Source organism: Homo sapiens, chromosome 14 (genome assembly GCF_000001405.40).
Source record: "Homo sapiens chromosome 14, GRCh38.p14 Primary Assembly".
Taxonomy (NCBI): domain Eukaryota; kingdom Metazoa; phylum Chordata; class Mammalia; order Primates; family Hominidae; genus Homo; species Homo sapiens.
The window spans coordinates 66,686,770-66,708,283 of record NC_000014.9 but is presented as its reverse complement, the minus strand read 5'-3'; the positions used below and the strand labels follow the sequence as shown (position 1 = coordinate 66,708,283).

Here is a 21,514-nt window from a genome sequence, read left to right as displayed (position 1 = left end):
CAAAGAAGGATGTAAGAAGATATGCCGAAAGGGACTTAACAGTTTGTTAAGCTCGCCATTTTTTTTTTTGAAGTTTTTAGATGTCTCTAAACTAAGATGAGCAAAATTGCTTGAGCCTTTGAAGAACTATTTTTTAAATCAACATAAGTACCCTGCAATGATACTGAGCACTTTTATGAATAAATCATCTAAACTTGGGTGCATGTTTTAAAAATTCACTTGGAAATCTTTAGTCAAACTGTTCAATCAATTGAGCACCAAAACCTCCAGCTTTTGAAACTTTATAGGGTGACTATAGCTAATAAGAATGCAATGTATATTTCAAGATAGGCAGAAGAGAGGATTTTGAATATTATCACCACACAGAAATGATAAATGTTTAAACTGTTAGATATAGTAACTGCCTGATTTGACCATTATACAATGTATACCTACATTGAAACATCACTTTGTATAAAATAAATGTACAGGGTTTTTTGACCTTTAAAATTACATTATTTTAAGTTCTAGGATACCTATACAGAACGTGCACATTTGTTACATAGGTATACATGTGCCACAGTGATTTACTGCACCTATTGACCCATCCTTTAAGTTCCCTAACCTCGCTGCCGCCGCCCAACAGGCCCTGGTGTGTGTTGTTCTCCTCCGTGTGTCCATGTGTTCTCATTGTTCAACACCCACTTAAGAGTGAGAACATGGGGTGTTTGGTTTTCTGTTCCCACGTTAAGTTTGCTGAGGATGATGACTTCCAGCTTCACCCATGTCCCTTCAAAGGACATGATCGCATTCTCTGTTTGTGACTGCATAGTGTTCCATGGTGCATATGTACCACATTTTCTTTATCCAATCTATCACTGACGGGCATTTGGGTTGGTTCCATGTCTTTGCTATTGTCAAGAGTGCTGCAATAAACAAACACGTGCATGTGTCTTTATAGTAGAATGATTTATATTCCTCTGGGTATATACCCAGTAATGGAATTGCTGTGTCAAATGGTATTTCTGGTTCTAGATCCTTGAGAAATCTACATACTGTCTTTCACAATGGTTGAACTAATTAACATTCCCACCAACAGTGTAAAACCATTCCTATTTCTCCACAGCCTCACCAGCATCTATTGTTTATTGACTTTTTAATAATCGCCATTCTGACTGGCGTGAGATGGTATCTCATTGTGGTTTTGATTTGCATTTCTCTAATGATCAGTGATGTTGTTTTTTTTTTTTTTCAAATGTTTGTTGGCTGCATGTATGTCTTCTTTTGAGAAGTGTCTGTTAATATCCTTTGCCCACTTTTTGATGGGGTTGTATGTTTCTGGTAAATCTGTTTAAATTCCTTATGAATTCTGGATATTAGACCTTTGTCAGATGTGTAGATTGCAAAATTTTCTCCCATTCTGTAGGTTGCCTGTTCACTCTGAGGATAGTTTCTTTTGCTGTGCAGAAGCTCTTTAGTTTAATTAGATCCCATTTGTCAATTTTGGGTTTTGTTGCAATTGCTTTTGGCATTTTTGTCAAGAAGTCTTTGCCCATGCCTGTGTCCTGAATGGTATTACCTAGGTTTTCTTCTAGGGTTTTTATAGTTTTGGGTTTTACATTTAAGTCTTTAACACATCTTGAGTTAATTTTTGAATAAGGTGTAAGGAAAGGGTCGAGTTTCAGTTTTCTGCATGTGGCTACCCAGTTCTCCTAGCACCATTTATTAAATAGGGAGTCCTTTCCCCATTGCTTGTTTTTTTCAGCTTTGTCAAAGATCAGATGGTTGCAGATGTGTGGTGTTATTTCTGAGGTCTCTGTTCTATCCCATTGGCCTATATGCCTGTTTTGGTACCACTACCATGCTGTTTTGATTATTGTAGCCTTGTAGTATAGTTTGAAGTCAGGTAGCATGATGTCTCTAGCTTTGTTCTTTTTGGTTAGGATTGTCTTGGCTATATGGGATCTTCCTTGATTCAATATGAAGTTTAAAGTAGTTATTTTCTAATTCTGTAAATAATGTCAATGGTAGTTTGATGGGAACAGCATTGAATCTATACATTACTTTGGGTAGTATGACCATTTTCACGATATTGTTTCTTCCTATCCATGAGCATGGAATGTTTTTCCATTTCTTTGTGTCCTCTCTTATTTCCTTGAACAGTGGTTTGTAGTTCTCCCTGAAGAGGTCCTTCACATCCCTTGTTAGCTGTATTCCTAGGTATTTTATTCTTTGTAGCGATTATGAATGGGAGTTTATTCATGATTTGGCTCTTTGCTTGTATATTGATGGTGTATAAAAATGCTTGTGATTTTTGCACATTGATTTGTATCCTGAGACTCTGCTGAAGTTGCTTAATAATTTAAAGAGTTTTTAGGCTGAGACAATGGGATTTTCTAAACACAAAATCATATTGTCTGCAAACAGAGACAATTTGACTTCCTCTCTTCCTATGTGAATACACTTTATTTTTCTCTTGCCTGATTGCCCTGGCCAGAACTTACAATACTATCTTGAATAGAAGTGGTGAGATAGGGCATCCTTGTCTTGTACCAGTTTTTAAAAAGAATGCTTCTAGCTTTTGCCCATTCAGTATGCTATTGGCTGTGGGTCTGTCATAAATAGCTCTTATTATTTTGAGATATGTTCCATCAATACATAGTTTATTTAGAGTTTTTAATATGAAGGGATTTTGACTTTTATCAGAGGCCTTTTCTGCATCTATTCAGATAATTATGTGCGTTTTGTCTTTGGTTCTGTTTATGTGATGGGTTACATTCATTGATTTGGGTATGTTGAACCAGCCTTGCATCCCAGGGATGAAGCCAACTTAATAATGGTGGATAACATTTTTGATGTGCTGCTGGATTTGGTTTGCCAGTATTTTATCGATGATTTTTGCATCAATGTTCAACAGGGATATTGGCCTGAAGTTTTCTTTTTTTGTTGTGTCTCTTCCCGGTTTTGGTATCAGGATGATGCTGGCTTCACTGAATGAGTTAGGGAGGAGTCCCTCCTTTTCAACTGTTTGGAATAATTTCAGAAGGAATGGTACCATCTCCTCTTTGTACTTCTGGTAGAATTCCACTGTGAATTCATCTGGTCCTGGGCTTTTTTTGGTTAGTATGCTATTAATTGCTGCCTCAATTTCAGAACTTGTTATTGGTCAATTCAGGGATTCAACTTCTTCCTGGTTTAGTCTTGGGAGGGTGTACATGTCCAGGAATTTATCCATTTCTTCTAGATTTTCTAGTTTATTTGCCTAGAGGTGTTTATAGTATTCTCTAATGGTAGTTTGTATCTCTGTTGGATCAGTGGTGATATCCCCTTTATCATTTTTTATTGTGTCTATTTGATTCTTCTCTCTTTTCTTCTTTACTAGTCTGGCTAGCAGTCTATCTACTGTGTTAATCTTTTCAAATGACCAGCTCCTGGATTAACTGATTTTTTTGGAGGGGTTTTTGTGTCTCTATCTCCTTCAATTCTGCTCTGATCTTAGTTATTTCTTGTCTTCTACTAGCTTTCGGATTAGTTTGCTCTTGCGTCTCTAGCTCTTTTAAATTGTGACGATAGGGTGTCGATCTGAGATTTTTCTAGCTTTCTGATGTGGGCATTTAGTGCCGTAAGTTTCTCTCTCTCACACTTCTTTAGCTGTGTACCAGAGCTTCTGGTACGTTGTGTCTTTGTTCTCAATGGATTCAAAGAACATCTTGAATTCTGCCTTAATTTCATTATTTACCCAGGAGTCATTCTGGAGCAGGTTGTTCAACCTCCATGCAATTGTGTGGTTTTGAGTGAGTTTCTTAATCCTGAGTTCTAACTTGATTACCTTGTGGTGTGAGAGACTGTTATGATTTCAGTTCTTTTGCATTTGCTGAGGAGCGTTTTACTTCCAATTATGTGGCTGATTTTAGAATAAGTGCTATGCGGCACCGAGATGAACGTATATTCTGTTGATTTAGGGTGGAGAATTCTGTAGATGTCTATTAGGTCCATTTGATCCAGATATGAGTTCAAGTCCTGAACATCCTTGTTAATTTTCTCTCTTGTTGATCTAATATTGACAGTGGGGTGTTAAAGTCTCCCACTATTATTGTGTGCGAGTCTAAGTTTTTTTCAGGTCTCTAGCAACTTGTTTAATAAATCTGAGTGCACCTGTATTGGGTGCATATATATTTAGAATAGTCAGCTCTTCTTGTTGAATTGGTCCCTTTACCATTATGTAATGCCCTTCTTTGTCTTTTTTTGATCTTTGTTGGTTTAAACTCTGTTTTGTCAGAGTCTAGGATTGCAACTCCTGCCCTTTTTTTTTTCTTTTTTTCTTTCTTTCTTTTTTTTTTTGGCTTTCCATTTGCTTGGTGTATTTTCCTCCATCCTTTTATTTTGAACCTATGTGGGTCTTTGCACTTGAGATAGGCCTCCTGAATACAGCACACCAATAGGTCTTGAAAATTTATTAATTTGCCAATCTGTGTTTTTAATTGGGGCATTTAGCCCATTTACATTTAAGGTCAGTATTATTATGTGTGAATTTGATCCTGTCATCATGATGCTACCTGGTTATTTTGCACACTAGTTGATGCAGTTTCTTGATAGTGTCATTGGTCCTTACATTTTGGAGTGTTTGTGCAGTGGCTGATACCGGTTTTTCCTTTCCGTATTTAGTGCTTCTTTCAGGAGCTCTTGCAAGGCAGTCCTGGTGGTAACAAAATCCCTCAGCATTTGCTTCTCTGGAAAGGATCTCCTTTGCTTATGAAGTTTAGTTTGGCTAGATATGAAATTCTGCGTTTAAAATTATTTTCTTTAAGAATGTTGAATATTGGCCCCCAATCTCTTCTGGCTTGTAGGGTTTCTGCTGAGAGTTACGCTATTATTCCAACGGGCTTCCTTTGTAGGTGACCTGGCCTTTCTCTCTGGCTGTCCTTAATACTTTTTCCTTCATTTTGTCCTTGGAGAATCTGATGATTATGTGTCTTTGGGTTGATCTTGTGGAGTATCTTAGTGGTGTTCTCTGTATTTCCTGAATTTGCATGTTGGCCTGTCTTGTTAAGTTGGGGAGGTTCTCCTGGATATTATCCTGAAGTGTGTTTTCCAGCTTCTTTCTGTTCTCCCCATCTCCTTCAGGTATTCCAGTTAATCATAGATTTGGTCTTTTTAAACGCTGAAGTCCCATATTTCTTGGAGGTTTTGTTCATTCCTTTTCATTCTTTTATCTCTACTCTTGTCTGCATGCCTTATTTCAGCAACGTGGTCTTCAAACTGATATCCCTTCTTCCACTTGGTCGATTCGGCTATTGATTCTTGTGTATGCTTCATGAAGTTCTCATGCTGTGTTTTTTAGCTCCATAGGGTCATTTATGCTCCTTTCTAAATTGGTTATTCTAGTTGGCAGCTCCTCTAACCTTTTATCAACGTTCTTATCTTTGTTGCATTGGGTTAGAACATGCTCCTTTAGCTCCATGTAGTTTTTTATTACCCATCTTCTGAAGACTACTCCTGTTAGTTTGTCCATCTCATCCTCTATCAGGTTCCTTGCTGTTGTTATAATCATTTGGAGAAGATGCACTCTGGCCTTTTGGGTTTTCAGCATTTTTTCATTGATTCTTTCTCATCTTCATGAGTTTGTCTAATTTCAATCTTTGAGGATGCTGACCCTTGGATGGGGTTTTCATGACGGCTTTTTGTTGTTGTTGTCGATGCTGTTGTTGTTGTTTTCTCTTTAATTGTTTTTCAATGGTCAGGTCCCTCTTCTATATGGCTGCTGTGGTTTGCTGGGGGTTCACTTCAGGCCCTATTCATTTGGTTCGCTCTCACATCTGGAGATGTCTCAAGGAGGCTGGAGAACAGCAAAGATGGGTGCCTGCTCCTTCTTCTGGGATCTCTGATCTCAAGGGACACCAATCTGATGCCAGTAGGATCGCTCCTGTATAGGGTTTTTGACAATCCCTTTTGGAGGGTCTCACCCAGTTGGGTGGCACAGGGAACAGGACCTGTTTAATGAAGTACTTAGATTGTCCCTTGGGGGAAGGGCTGTGCTTCACTGGGGGAAAACCCACTCGTCTGGGCTGCCTGGATTCCCCAAAACTACCAGGAGGAAAGGCAAAGTCTGCTGGTCCACAGAGACTGTGGCGACTCCTTCCCCTAGGGGTTCAAGCCCAGGGAGATCTGGGTTCTGTCCCTGAGCCTCTGGCTGGAGTTTTTGGAGTTCCTGCAGGGAAGCCCCACCCAGTGAGGAAGGATGAGTCATGGTCACACCTGAAGAGGCACTGTGGCCGCAGTCTGCCACAGCTGGTGTGTTGGGCTGTGGAGGACATGTCTTGGGACCAAGCTGTCCAGCCTCCCTGGCTCCAGGAGGGGAGAAGTACAGCCTGGAGCTATAGAGATGGATGCCACCCTTCCCCCGCCCAGGGAGCTTAGCATGCTAGGCAGTCGTGAGTCTCAGTGCTGGCTGCTGCCCCTACCCCAAGGATCTCAAATGGCTTAGACAGTAGGCAGCCATAGCTGTGGTGTTGGTCGCCCCTCCCCCCAGGAGCTTGGTAGGCTTAAGTAGATTCTAGCTGAGAGGCTGTTGAGAATCTACATGGCTCTGGGGTTGAAATGTTAGGCCCTGGTAGCGTAGGTTCACGAGTGTGATCTTCTGATCCATGGGTGGCACAGTTCCGTGGAAAAAGCAGTTTCCCCAGCTGGTTAGCAGGCTCACTCACTGTCTTCCCTTGGCTGCGGGGTAGGGGCTACCCTGCCCTGTGTGGCTCCCAAGTGGGCTGCCACACCACATTGCTCTTCCTTTCTCTCCGTGGATCACACCAGCCACCTAGTCATTTCTGATTAGACAGCCTGAATACCTTGGTTGCAGGTGAAGGTTTCACACACTTATTATGGTTCTTTTTGATGGGAGCATCCAATTGCTACTGTTTCTAGTCAGCCATCATGGCCGCACCCAAATGTACAGTTATTATGTATTAGTTATAAATAAACAAGATGCTATGCAGCTATTAAAAAGTGATGTCTGTTTAGATATGAAACATATTTGAGATATTGTAAAAAAAAGAGAAATATGCACAACAGTATACATTTTTGTAAGATGTATTTTTATTCAAATGTGTAATATGTACATATTGCACTTACATGCATATGTAAATATGCATATATACATATGTATATATGTATCTGTACATTCACATTTGTGTGTGTGCACATGTGCGCATGCACAGATAACCTCTGTAACAGAGGTTGCTTTTAGGGAAGGAAAACTGGATGGCAGGGCAGGGCAAGCATAAGGTTTCCTTTCTGTGCATGTACTCTTTGGTAGCTTCATAAGCAAATTTCAAATAGTTGTGATATAACTGAAATAAAAATAATTGAGAAATAATATAGTTTTTTTTTTTAGATGGTGTCTTGCTCTGTTGCCAGGCTGGAGTGCAGTGGTGCAATCTTGGCTCACTGCAACCCCTGTCTCCGGATTCAAGCGATTCTCCTGCCTCAGCTTCCCAAGTAGCTGGGACTATAGGCGCACGCCACCACGCCCAGCTAATTTTTGTATTTTTAGTAGAGACGGGGTTTCACCATGTTGGCCAGGATGGTCTCGATCTCTTGACCTCATGATCCACCCGCCTCGGCCCCCAAGGTGCTGGGATTACAGGAGTGAGCCACTGCATCCGGTCATAATAAAGATTTTTAACTGGATATTTGTTCTATTCTAGGATGAATAATAAATGCAAAGACAATAGCAGAAGTGCTAATTTAGAAAAATTAAGTAAAATCCTTCATCCCCGAGTTGTCCCAGACCAATAATTTACTAAGTAAAAAAATACAAATTTAAATTAGATCATAAGGGAGAAATAAATTCAAAACAGCAACAGCCAACATGCGTACATGTATTACTGTTAGGTTTTCCCTCTAAATCTAAATCACAAATCTACTTCTTTCATATAATTTTAACTGTAAAATTATTTTACTTCTCTCACACAGTTTAGAAATTCCAGTATGTGTGTCAAAAATAAAATATTCGTTAAATTTCTAGTAGCTAAGTGCCTCTCTCTTTGAAAATGTATAGTCCCACCTCAATCTCTCACCTCCTCCCCTAAAAACAAATAGGGTTTTGTGCAGTTGTCCATTTTACTGATACCAATTTTTCTTTGAATATCCTCTACAGAAATAGAAAACATTTAACACTATAACCTCAGAAATTTTTCTGTAAGTAGATTTTCCACATTTATATCATGTTGAATAGCCCGTATAAGACACACAATTTTAATTGTTTCCAAAAGGAAAAGTTCCTATATGTAATCTCTCTCCTTTTATAGTCTCTAAAATTAAGATTAGTTTAAAAAAATAGTAGTTATCCAGTCATAAGAAAACATAAAGGTTCTTATAAAGTTGTTTTTTCAAATTTTAAACATCCTTCGGCATAGCTTCTTCATTATTTAATTTCATATTTAGTTTTTGTTGCTTTGTTTCTGTAAACAACCAGATTGTAAAAACAAATCATGGCAAACACAGCCATAGTTTACTTCTGTCTGGCATAGATGTTTCTTTCACTCCTATTATCTTAGCCTTTCTCTCTCTAATTCCATCATTTATACAAATAGTATAAAAACAGCAAATAGTGAGAGGTGAAGTTGAAGAGCCAGGAAGTAATCAGATCATTACTGGTCTTGCATGCGCTATTAAAAAGCTGGATTTTGTTCTAAAACAGAATACTTTAAAATACCAGACATCTTCCACATTGACCTGAAATTATTCAACAACAACTTCTTATAACAATTCTAATGAACTATATACTCACAAAGACATAATGAAAAGCTTATGAAATTATCAACATCGAGTCACTATCTTTTTAGCATTCCCTGATTAAATTATCCAGCAATTCTATCACCATATTTAATATAATATTATCATCACTTACCTTTTATTATTTTTAAATTATTTTCTTTTATTTATTTATTTTAATTATTATTATACTTTAAGTTTTAGGGTACATGTGCACAATGTGCAGGTTTGTTACATATGTATACATGTGCCATGTTGGTGTGCTGCACCCATTAACTCATCATTTAGCATTAGATATATCTCCTAATGCTATCCCTTTTAAGACTGTGAAGTGAGTAGAATAGTATCAGTATGTTCATTTAACAATTGAGAAAACTAAGATTCTGAAAGGTCAAGTAATTTAGTTATCATGCTACACTGCTGATAACTGGAATATGCTAGACTTCTCTGCAGTTAAGTTTAAATCATAGCTCAGTACTCTTTTCATTACCTTGAAGAGTTACATTGACTAATATTCTCACTCAGGTCACAATGATTTCTTATCTACACCACGGGTCAATAAACTTTTTCTGTAAAGACAGTCAAAATGCAGTTTACCCTTGAACAACACAAGTTTGAACTCCTTGGTTCCACTTATCTGCAGATTTTTTTCAACCAAACATAGATCAAATTAATGAAATGCAAAACCCGCATATATGGAGGGCCAATGTTTTGTATACATGCAGGTTCCCCAGAGCCGAATGGAGGGACTGAGTATATGCAGATTTTGGTATATGCAGAGGTCCTGGAACAATCCCCAACACATACCAAAGGATGGATGACTGTATTTCTGGCTTTGAGTGACATATGAAACTACTCAACTCTGCTGTTGTACAGTGAAACCACCCATAGGTAATACATAGGTGAATGAGTAAGACTGTGTTCTAACAAAACTTCAATTTTCATGTATCATTGTCTTTCCAAAGATAAAAATATTTCTTTTAAAATAGCAGTTTTATTGAGTAAACATAAGCACTGGATTTCCCTGATTCAGAATAAATCCTGAATAATTAGTCCCAGGTATCTGCTACTTTTAAAAGAGTATGACAACATCAGTAAGAAGAGTTTACATTCACTGAACATATAGTTCAATTTTCTCCAAAAAATATTACATCCCCTTTTTACCTATGAATTCTGTAATTTCACACAGATTTCAAGTTATCTACAAAATAGTGACAGACCAGAAGCAAATCAGAGGACAAATCTTATTCAGCAAGTATTTAACCTTTTTCTCCATTTTGAAATGCTCAAGCAGAATGACTCAGTTTAAAGACTAACATTAACAAAATTCATCATATCCCTTTTCAAAATGTATTTTTTAACTTGTGATGAAATTTCAGGCAAAATCCATATATTTTCTGTATAATGTATTATTATTTAAATAACTATTTGTGATACTTGAAATTAGTCATTTAATAAATATTTATTTCACAATTTCCAAAGTGCTTTCGAATGGGTCATATTTTTCAATTTCATAAGATGAAAATATTATTTATAAAACCAGGCAGCAGGCTGGGCACAGTGGCTCATTCCCAGCACTTTGGGAGGCTGAGGCAGGAGGATCTCTTATGCCCAGGAGTTTGAGACCAGCCTGGGCAACATGGAGAGATCCTCTCTCTACAATAAATAATAATTGTAAAAAGTAGCCAGCTGTGGTGGCACATGCCTGTAGTCCCAGCTACTTGGGAAGCTGAAGTGAGATGATCACTGGAACCTGGGAGGCAGAAGCAGCAGTAAGCCATGATTGCACCACTGCACTCCAGCCTGAGTGAAAGAGGTAGACCTCATCTCAAAAAAAAAAGAAAAGAAAAAAGAAAAAAGAAAAAAAAAAAAGGCAAGTAGCAGGCCAGATTTGACCTGTGGATCATAGTTTGCCAACCCCTAGATTAGACCATACTTTTAAATATCCACCATCTATCCAATATAAGAATGAAAGTTCACATGACAGAAGCCAGAGAAAAACACTACACCAGTATCTCCAATCTAATTTGTTCTTAACATCATTCAATACTGTTGAGTCTACATTTCATCTTGTGCCTTTAATAGTAAACATTCTTATATACAACAATTATCCAAAATTACAAGTAGTAAAAAATTATACTTTTCCCATTGGCTTTCTCAGAAAGGATGCTTACAGAAGTTCACAAAACCTGATACTGTGAAGTCACACAACGTACTACATAACTAAGGCAAATTATAAATGCTGAATTACAGAGTAGTCAAACACATTTGTTTAATACAATTCATCATTGACAATATTATTTTAGATAACTTTTTGGTATAAATCCAACTAATATTTAAGTAGATTAACTATAAAATGCCTCAGTAGTCAACAAAACATACTAATACTTATTAAAAGATGAGGTGAAGATGTGGATTCCTGTGAGGGACAAATATAGGAGTAAAGAAATTTACACATGTATTCAAATGTAAAATATTAGTGTGTAGAAATTTTGTTTATAAACAGATAATAAGTCATTACTTTCCCACAAAATTGACAAAAATAAATTATCACTTGGTGAAAAATAAACTTCAACTATTCAGACTTTTTTAAAAAGTGACTTAAATATTTTTCTAATGAGGACTACTCTTTTATGGTTAATTTTACGTGATAAACCACAAATCTACATACATTTCTTAAAAGGAAAAACAAAATAAATTCATAGCATCTTTAGGAAGTGAGAAATTTAACTCATTTAGTAGTAAAGCTTAAAGTCTCAAAGCTGTGATCTTGAATACCAGAGGTTCTGAGACCCTTTCAGGGGACCACAAATTGGGGTACTTCATCACAGTCTAGTGAGGGTGAGAATCCAGGCTCCCCACTCAACTTTTGCTGGCATGGGTTGGTGTAGGACCACAGTTTTTCTGTAGTGTTTGGCAGGAGTAGGGTGGTTATAGTATAAGCTTTCTGACTTGGTATGGTTTCTACGCCCTTTGGCTAAACAGAGAAAGCTTTTGTTGAAGCTATTTGTCAGTGTCTTTCGATATTTCTAGGTTGTCAGCTGCTTCAGCTCCAAGTATAAAATATATGAGGCACACACACAAAAACAAGAACACACCACCACATTATTTCTTAGGACTTTCAGTTGTACTTAGCATGAGGAATAGACCAAAGTACATTTACTCCATCTTTCCAGAATTGGAAGACTCAAGGCTAATGGATAGTAAAACAAAACTTTACATTTTTAGATTAGTTTCAGGTTTACAGCAAAATTGAGCAGACTTTAAAAACGTGACTTAAATATTTTTCTAATGAGGATTACTCTTTTATGGTTAATTTTGTTTATGAGATAACCACAAATCTGCATAAACTTCTTTAAAGGAAAAAGAAATTCATAGCATCTTTAGGAAGTGAGAAATTTTTCCATATAATTTCCCATATATCCCTTGTACTGCAATATGCATAGCTTCTCCCATTATCAACATACCCCAACGAAGTGGCACATTTATTACCACTGATAAACCTCCACTGACACATCATTATCACCCAAAGTCCACAGTTTACATTAGGGTTCATTTTCAGTGTTGTATATTCTATGGTTTAGACAATGCATCATAACATGTTTCCTTCATTGTAGTATCATTCAGAGTAGTTTTACTGCCCTAAAAATCCTCTGTACTCTGCCTGCTCATCCCTTCCTCCTCTCTAACCTCTGGCAAGCACTGATTCTTTTACTATCTTCATAGTTTTGCCTTTTCCAGAAAGTCATATAGCTGGATACTTACAATGTGTAGCTTTTGCAGATTGGCTGCTTTGATGTAGTAATATGCATTTAAGTTTCCTTCTTATCTTCTCATAGTTTGATAGCTCATTTCTTTTTGGCACTGAATAATATTCCATTATCTGGATGTACCACAGTTTACTTATCCATTCACCCACTGAAGGTTATCTTGGTTGCTTCCAAGTTTTGTCATTTATAAAGTTTCTATAAAAATCTATGTGCAGATTTTTGTGTGGATGTACATTTTCAACACATTTGGATAAATACCAAGGGGCAAAACTGCTGGAATGCATGTTAAAAAACCACTGAACTGTCCTCCAAAGTGGCTATGCCATCTTGCATTCCCACCAGCAATTAATGAGAGTTTCTTGCCCCACATCCTCATCAGCACTTGGTATTGTCAGTATTCCAGATTATGACCATTCTAATAGATATGTAGTAATATTTCACTGTTGTTTTAATTTGCATTTCCATGATGACATAAAATGTAGAACATCTTTTTATATACTTATTTGACATCTGTATATCTTCTTTGGTGAGGTGTTTGTTAAGGTCTTTGGCCCACTTTTCAATAGAGTTTATTTTTATTTTTATTTTTATTTATTTATTTTTTTAAGACAGAGTCTTGCTCTGTTGCCCAGGCTGCAGTGCAGTGTGGCATGTTCTCGGCTCACTGAAACCTCCGCCTCCTGGGTTCAAGCCATTCTCCTGCCTCAGCCTCCTGAGTAGTTGGGATTACAGTCGTGCACCACCGCGCATGGCTAATTTTTGTATTTTTGGTAGAGATGGGGTTTCACCAAGTTGGCCAGGCTTGGTCATGAACTCCTGACCTTAAGTGATCCACCTGCCTTGGCCTCCCAAAGTGTTGGGATTACAGGCGTGAGCCACTGCGCTCGGCCTAGGGTTGTTCATTTTCTTATTGCTGAGTTTTAGGAGTTCTTGTATATTTTTAAGTAATAGTACATTATCAGATGCGTCTTTTGAAAATATTTCTCCCAGTCTGTGGCTTCTCTTTTCATTTCATGGCATTGTGTTTGTAGAGCAGAGTTTTTAATGAAGCCCAGCTTACCAATATTTTCTTTTGTGGATGGTACCTTTAGAGCTGAAAATCACTGCCATACCCAAGGTTACCTAGGCTTTCTCCTATATTATTGTCTGGCAGTTTTATAGTTTTGTGTTTTATATGTAGTCCTATGATCCACTTTGAATTAACTTTTTTAAGGGTGTAAGGTCTACGTCCAGATTCAATTTTTTAAAGCATGCAGATGTCCAGGTGTTCCAGCACCATTTGTTAAAAAAACTATCTTTGCTCCATTGTATTTTGTTTATTCCTTTTTCAAAGACCAGTTGAACATTGTCTTAAGTCTATTTGAGCTGCTATTTAAAAAATACCATGGACTGGGTGGCTGATAAACAAAAGAAGTTTATTTCTCACTGTTCTGCAGGTCTGGAAGTCCAAGATCAAGGTGCCAAGAAATTCAGGTGAAGGCCTACTTCCTGATTGATAGATGTCTGTCTTCTGGCTATAATCGCATATGGTGGTAGGGGAAAGGGGCCTGTCTCAGGCCTCTTTTATTAGGGACACTAATCCAATTCATGAGGTCTCTGCCCTCATGACTAAATCACCTCCCAAAGGCCTCATCCTTCAAACGCCCTCACATCGGGGGTTAAGCTTCAACATATGAATTCTGGGCAGATATATACATTCAGACCACAGCAACTATATTTATATGGGTCTATTTCTGGGCTCTCTATTCTTTTTCCTTGATCTATTTGTCTATTTTGCCAATACTACACTGCCCCTATCACCACAGCTTTATAATAAATCTTGAAGCTGTATAGTGTCAAGTCCTCCAACTTTTTTCTTATTCTTCAATATTGTATTGGCTACTCTGGTGGACCAATAGATTTTAACTTAACAGAGTATTATGAAAATGTCCTTAATATGGCTTTGAATTCCACAATGTTACTTATTATGATGATTAATTTTTGGTGCCACCTTGACTGGTTGAAGGATTATACAGAGTACTGATAAAGCATTATTTCTGTGTATGCTTGTGAGAATGTTTCCAGAGGAGATTCACAAGTGAGTCCATAGGCTGAGTAAGTAAGATCTGCCCTCAATGTGGGCAGACCTACCCAATTAGAGGGGACCGAAATAGAGCAAATAGGCTATTTCCTCTCTCTTCTGGAGCTGGGATATAAATTTCTCTTGTCCTAAGACATCAGAATTCCAGCTTACAGATGGCCAGTCAGGAAAGTCCTCAGCCTCCATAACTGCATGAGTCAATTCTCCTAATAAATCCCGTATGTATATATGTATGTATGTATCTACCTATCTATCTATCAATCAATCAATCATTGGTTCTGTTTCTTGGAGAACTCTGACTACTACACTTACCTTTAAGAAACTGTCTATCATTATTGTCCAGTTTGAGTAAAATAGCAAAACAAATAATATCCATATTCATTAGAAAAAGTTATTAAAATATTCCTTCCAAGTTACATAATTGTTCCAAGCATAATTTTCCTCACAAATTTCAACAAAAACATATTACAACAGATTAAACGTAGAAACAGTTATTTGAAAATTTAGCTATCTTTTATTAAGCCAGAGATTATAGAGATTTATAAAATGTAAAAAAACTGTTAATATTTTGACTATTTTGGGAGTTTTGAAATATACAGCTATTTTTCATTATATTATTTATTTTAATATGTAGTGGGCTTATTTATATTTTATGTGAATTAAATAATTTTATTCTTTAACATAGTAAATATCAATAGATGTTACCCACATAAACAATAGTTCAATGCCATGCTTATAATTTTTTAAAGTGCAATGAAGCTATGAAATCATAAGGTTAGAGAATTACTACCTAGTATGAATAAACATAAAAAATATAACACTATAATTCAAACAAGTGCTCTATATAAGCTTCAGTTCAGGGTTACTTCCTTGGTAATATTTTAATTCCAAATATTATAAAGATTTCTTTGGTATTTCATAACAACAATACAAGCCATTCAATTCAAGCAATCTAATACAATGTCTTTATCCTTTTAATGCTCATAGAGACCAAAATGTCATATAGTTTATATGCACCAATGGTCATATAAAAATGGTAATTAGAAATAGCAAATATTATAGAAAACTGTTCGATAAGAAAAAAAGGTAGACATCTGTGTTCCCCACTTGCTTTCTGTGTTCTCTCTCCTGGTTGTATAGAGGAGCCAGGATAATTTAGGACTTATTAGAGAGACGTAGGTTGGAGTCCCAGGCCTACTACTAGAGAATCTACAGATAGTGTATCTGCAGATATTTAACTTCTCTGAATTTCAAATTACTCAGCATGTCTAACAGAATTATGAAACATCATATTAAAAACTAGGCATAAAGCACCTGTTTAGTTCCTAGCAGGTAGTTGATAAATGTTAGTACCTCATCATACTCCTCACTCCTTCCATGTAAACTTATACCTAATGACCAGAGCATATGACAATGAAGTGTGTCAGAAAATAGTAATAAAAATTGCATGTTTTACAGTCAGGAGGTAAATAACAGAAAGCACCCAGGACTATAAGAAGGTTAGCAGGTAAAGTAAAGATATATTCAAACCTCTTTATTTGGGAGTTAACTATATATATTAGTAATCCTTAACCTATTTGCATCTGCAAAACCCACAGAAAATCAAAGGAAAACTAAGGACTTTCGCCCCAGAAAAACAAACATTTGCTCACAAATATATTTTGCATAGAATTTCAGGAGTTTTATGGACAAATCCGAATTTGATTTTATTGTCAAACATAGAAAAAGAAAAATGCTATCTAGCTTTTATTATCTTTTTTGGATTAGAGGTTGCTAACCAAAGTACTGGATAGTTTTTGCTATTGTTTGTTTAGTTTTGTTTTCTGCAGACCCTATATCTTAATTTTGGCTTCCATTCTATGTCAATCAGAGAAAGTTCTGAAAATCTCCCAGTGTACACTATCTTGAACAGAATACTGATAAATTATTTAGCTCACTTTGTAGTCTATCCTCTATATCTGATTGTCAGCAACGTTTTCTGTAAACGACTGGATAATAAACATTTTCAGCTTAGTGGGCCAAATGATCCTTGTTACAACTTATCATCTCTGCTATTATAATTCAAAAGCAGCCATGAATAGTAGGTAAACACTATGCATGGCTGTGTTCCCTAACAAAACTATTTATAGACACTGAAATATAATTTTCATGTACTATAAAATATTCATTAAAAATTTTTTTTAATCACTTAAAAATGTTCATGGGTCAGGTGCAGTGGCTCACACCTGTAATCCCAGCACTTTGGGAGGCCAAGGCAGGTGAATCACAGGGTCAGGAGATCGAGACCATCCTGGCCATCACGGTGAAACCTTGTCTCTACCGAAAATACAAAAATTAGCTGGGTGTGGTGGGGAGTGCCTGTAATCCCAGCTACTCGGGAGGCTGAGGCAGGAGAATCGCTTGAACCCAGGAGGCGGTCGTTGCAGTGAGCCGAGATTGCGCCACTGCACTTCAGCCTGGTGACAGAGTGAGACTCCATCTAAAAATAAAAAAAAAAAATAAAAATTGTAGAGACAGTGTCTCACTATGTTGCCTAGCCTGGTCTCAAATTACTGGGCTCAACTGATCCTCCCACCTCAGTCTCCCAAAGTGCCAGGATTATAGGTGTGAGCCACTGTACCCAGCCTATACTTAATTTTAAATGAGGTTTAGGCCTTCAACACTAAATAAAAATCTTTGGGTTTTCACTGAAATACGTAAGTGAGTCAGCATATAGGAGTTCGAATAATACAGACCAAGGTTTACTGCTTTGCCACTCATTACAGTCAAATGTCACTGAACCACAGGGATACATTCTGAGAAATGCATCCTCAGGTTATTTCAACCTTATGTGACCTTCATAGAGTGTACTTACACAAACCGAGGGAGTGAGGCTGTGTCTCAAACAAACATAAAAACAAAAAACAACTAAAAAGAAACAAAGAAGGTCATTACATAATGATAAAGATATTAATTCAGTAAAGGAGATAACAAATGTAAATATAATATGCACCCAACATTGGAGCACCCAGATATATGAAGCAAATATTGTTAGATTTAAAGGAAGGAATAAATTCTGATACAATAATAGATGGGGACTTCAACACTCCACTCTCAACATGTGACAGAGGTCATTTAATTTAAACTGTTCTTCAGACCAAATGAACCTAACAAACCTTTAGAGAAAATATCACCCAAATGCAGCAGAATACACATACTTTTCATCAGCACATGGAATATTCTCCAGAACAGACCACATATTAGGTCACAAAACAAGGCTCAACAAATCTAAAAGAATTGAAGTCATATTAAGTATCTTTTCTGGCCAAAATTAAATAAAACTAGAAATCAACAAAAGGAACTACTGAAACTGTGAGAATATAGGGAAATTGAAGAACATGTTCTACAATGAACGTGGGTCAATAAAAAAATTAAGAAAAAAATTTCAAATTTCTTGAAACAAATGAAAAGAGAAACACAACATACCAAAAAATATGAGATACATCACAAACTATAGTAAGAGAGAAGTTTATAGCAATAAACCTCAACATTAAGTAGAAAATTTTCAAATAGCCTAACAAGCTAACTTAAGGAACAAGAAAATCAAGAACAAACTGTAAGAATTAGTAGAAAAAATAAAAAATATCCAAGCTGAAATAAGTAAAATTGAGAAAAAAATACAACATATAAAAAAAGTCAAAAAGTTGGTTTTATGAAAAGATCAATAAAATTGCCAAACTACTAGCTAGACCAACGAAGACAAAAAGAGAAAAGACCCAAATAAACCAAGATAAAAAAAGACTCAAATAAATAAAATCAGAATGGAAAAATGACACAAAAAATTGATACCACATAAATAAAAATCATTAAAGACTATTATGAACAACTATACGCCAACAAATTAGAAAACCTAGCAGAAATGGTCCTGGACACAAACAACCTACCACAACTGAGCCAAGAAGAAATGAAAAACCCCAACAAACCAATTGAAAATTAACGTGACTAAATTTGTAATTTTAAAAAAGCCTGGGACCCTATGGCTTCACTGTTGAATTCTATCAAACATTTAAAGCAGAATTAAAATCAATATGTCTAAAACTTCCAGAAAATTGAGAAGGAGGCAATTCTTCAAAACTCATTCTAAGAGGCCAGCATTACCCTGATACTAAAACTAGACCAAGGACTCAAATGCAAAAACTACAGACCAACATCCCTGATGAACATAGAAGCAAAAATTACCAACCACATACTAGCAAACAGAATCCAGCAGCATATTAAAAAGATAATTCACCATCATCAAGTAGGATTTATCCCAGGCATAAATGGGTGAGATAAATGGGATGGTTTAGCATATGCAAATCAATAAATATGACACATCACATCAATGGAATGAAGGACAAAAACAATATAATCATTTCAATAAACATAGAAAAAGCATGTAATAAAATTCAACATCCCTTCCTGATAAAAACTCTCACCAAGTTAGATACAGAAGGAATGTACTTCAACACAACAAAAGCCATATACAGTAAACCCACAGCCAACATCACACTGACTTGGGAAAAGTTAAAAGCTTTTCCTCTAAGTTCTGGAACAAAAAAAAGATGCTCACTTTTACCACTTTCTTTTTCTTTTTTTAAAAAATTATACTTTAAGTTCTAGGGTACATGTGCACAATATGCAGGTGTGTTACACAGGTATACATGTGCCATGTTGGTTTGCTGCACCCATCAACTGGTCATTTACATTAAGTATTTTTACTAATGCTATCCCTCCCCCAGCCCCCCACCCCCCGACAGGCCCCGGTGTGTGATGTTCCACTCCCTGCGTCCATGTGTTCTCATTGTTAAACTCCCACTTATGAGTGAGAACATGCGGTGTTTGGTTTTCTGTCCTTGTGATATTTTGCTGATAATGATGGTTTCCAGCTTCATCCATGTCCCTGCAAAGGACTTTCACAACTTTCATTCAACACAGTACTGGAAGTCCCAGTCATAACAATTAGGCAAGAGAAAGAATTAAAGGGCATCCAAATTGGAAAGGACTATCCAAATTTGTTCCCGTTCATCTCCCATGTTGTAGACGACATATAGAAAACAGTAAAGACTCCCCTCAAAGACTCTTAGAACTGATGAACAAGTTGAGTACTTTTGCAGGACAGAAAATCAAGGTAAAAAATAAGTACCATTTCTAAACATCAGCAATAAACTAGTGGAAAAAGAAACTGAAAAAGCAATCCATTTTATGGCAGCTACATACAAAAATAAAATTCAGTTAGACCCTTGAACAATACAGACTTGAACTGCATGGGTCTACTTACATGCATGCAGACTTTTTTCCATAAATGTTACACTTGAGTGTGCCTGCCTCTTCTACCTCCCTGACAACTCTTCTCTGCCTCTGCCACTCCTGAGACAGCAAAACCAACTCCTTTTCCTCTTCCTCCGCCTCCTCATCAGCCTATTCAATGTGAAGATGAAAAGCATAAAGACTTATATCTTGATCTACTTTGACTTAGTGAATAGTAAATATTTTTCTTTTTCTTAATTTTGTTATTCTTAATAATACTTTCTTTTCTCTAGTTTACTTTATTTCAAGAATACAGTATGTAATACGTATGTAAAATATGTGTTAGTCAACTGTTTATGTCATTGTTAAGGATTCCAGTCAACAGTAGCTTATTAGTTAGTAATTAAGTTTTTGGCAAGTCAAAAGTTACACCTAAATGTTCAACAGCATGCAGGAGCAATACACCAAATACTCATACTGTTCAAGGATCAACTGTACCTAGAAATAAATTTAACCAAGTGGGTGAAAGATCTCTACACAAACAAGCTAAAAAACTGATGAAAGAAATTGAAGAGGACACAAACAAATGGAAACACATCCTATGTTTATGAATTGAAAGAAATAATATTGGCCAGGCACAGTGGCTCATGCCTGTAATCCCAGCACTTTGGGAGGCCGAGGTGGGCGGATCACCTGAGGTCAGGAGTTAGAGACCAGCCTGAACAACATGGAGAAACCCTGTCTCTACTAAAAACACAAAATTAGCCGGGCATGGTGGCACATGCCTGTAATCCCAGCTACTCAAGAGGCTGAGGCAGGAGAACCGCTTGAACCCAGGAGGCGAGAGGTTGCGGTGAGCCGAGATTGTGCCATTGCACTCCAGCCTGAGCAACAAGAGCGAAACTCCGTCTCAAAAAAAAAAAAAAAAAAACCAAATAAAATAAAGAAAAAGAAGTAATATTGTAAAAATGAACATGCTACCAACAGTGATCTATAGATTCAACGCAATCTCTATCAAAATACCAATGACATTCATCACAAAAATAGAAAAAATAATCCTAAAATTGGTATGAAACCATAAAAGACCCTGAATAGCCAAAGCAATCCTGAGCAAAAAGAACAAAGCTGGGGTGGAGAGTTCTGTAGATGTCTATTAGGTCTTCTTGGTGCAGAGCTGAGTTCAATTCCTGGATATCTTTGTTAACTTTCTGTCTCGTTGATCTGTCCAATGTTGACAGTGGGGTGTTAGAGTCTCCCATTATTATTGTGTGGGAGTCCAGCAGCACATCAAAAAGCTTATCCAACATGATCAAGTGGGCTTCATCCCTGGGATACAAGGCTGGTTCAACATACGCAAATCAATAAACGTAATCCAGCATATAAACAGAACCAAAGACAAAAACCACATGATCATCTCAATAGATGCAGAAAAGGCCTTTGGCAAAATTCAACTGCCCCTCATGCTAAAAACTCTCAACAAATTAGGTATTGATGGGACGTATCTCAAAACAATAATAGCTATTTATGACAAACCCACAGCCAATATCATACTGAATGGGCAAAAACTGGAAGCATTCTCTTTAAAAACTGGCACAAGACAGGGATGCCCTCTCTCACCACTCCTATTCAACATAATGTTGGAAGTTCT

The 21,514-nt window shown here is 36.8% G+C and overlaps 1 protein-coding gene across 20 annotated transcripts in view, besides 1 other annotated feature; it reads right to left on the bottom strand.

The window, feature by feature from the left end:
* GPHN (gephyrin) overlaps positions 1-21,514 on the bottom strand; it is a 1,227,209-nt gene that overhangs the window by 1,027,072 nt on the left and 178,623 nt on the right. The gene's annotated exons all lie outside the window — the stretch shown is intronic.
* Positions 18,213-18,382: an enhancer, noted in NCBI's record as "experimental_35749 CRE fragment used in MPRA reporter constructs". NCBI's record gives its function as "activates a minimal promoter by MPRAs in K562 erythroleukemia cells, with activity observed for both the introgressed and non-introgressed 14:67156705 variant alleles {active_cell/tissue: K562}" and the evidence as "EXISTENCE:reporter gene assay evidence [ECO:0000049][PMID:34662402]".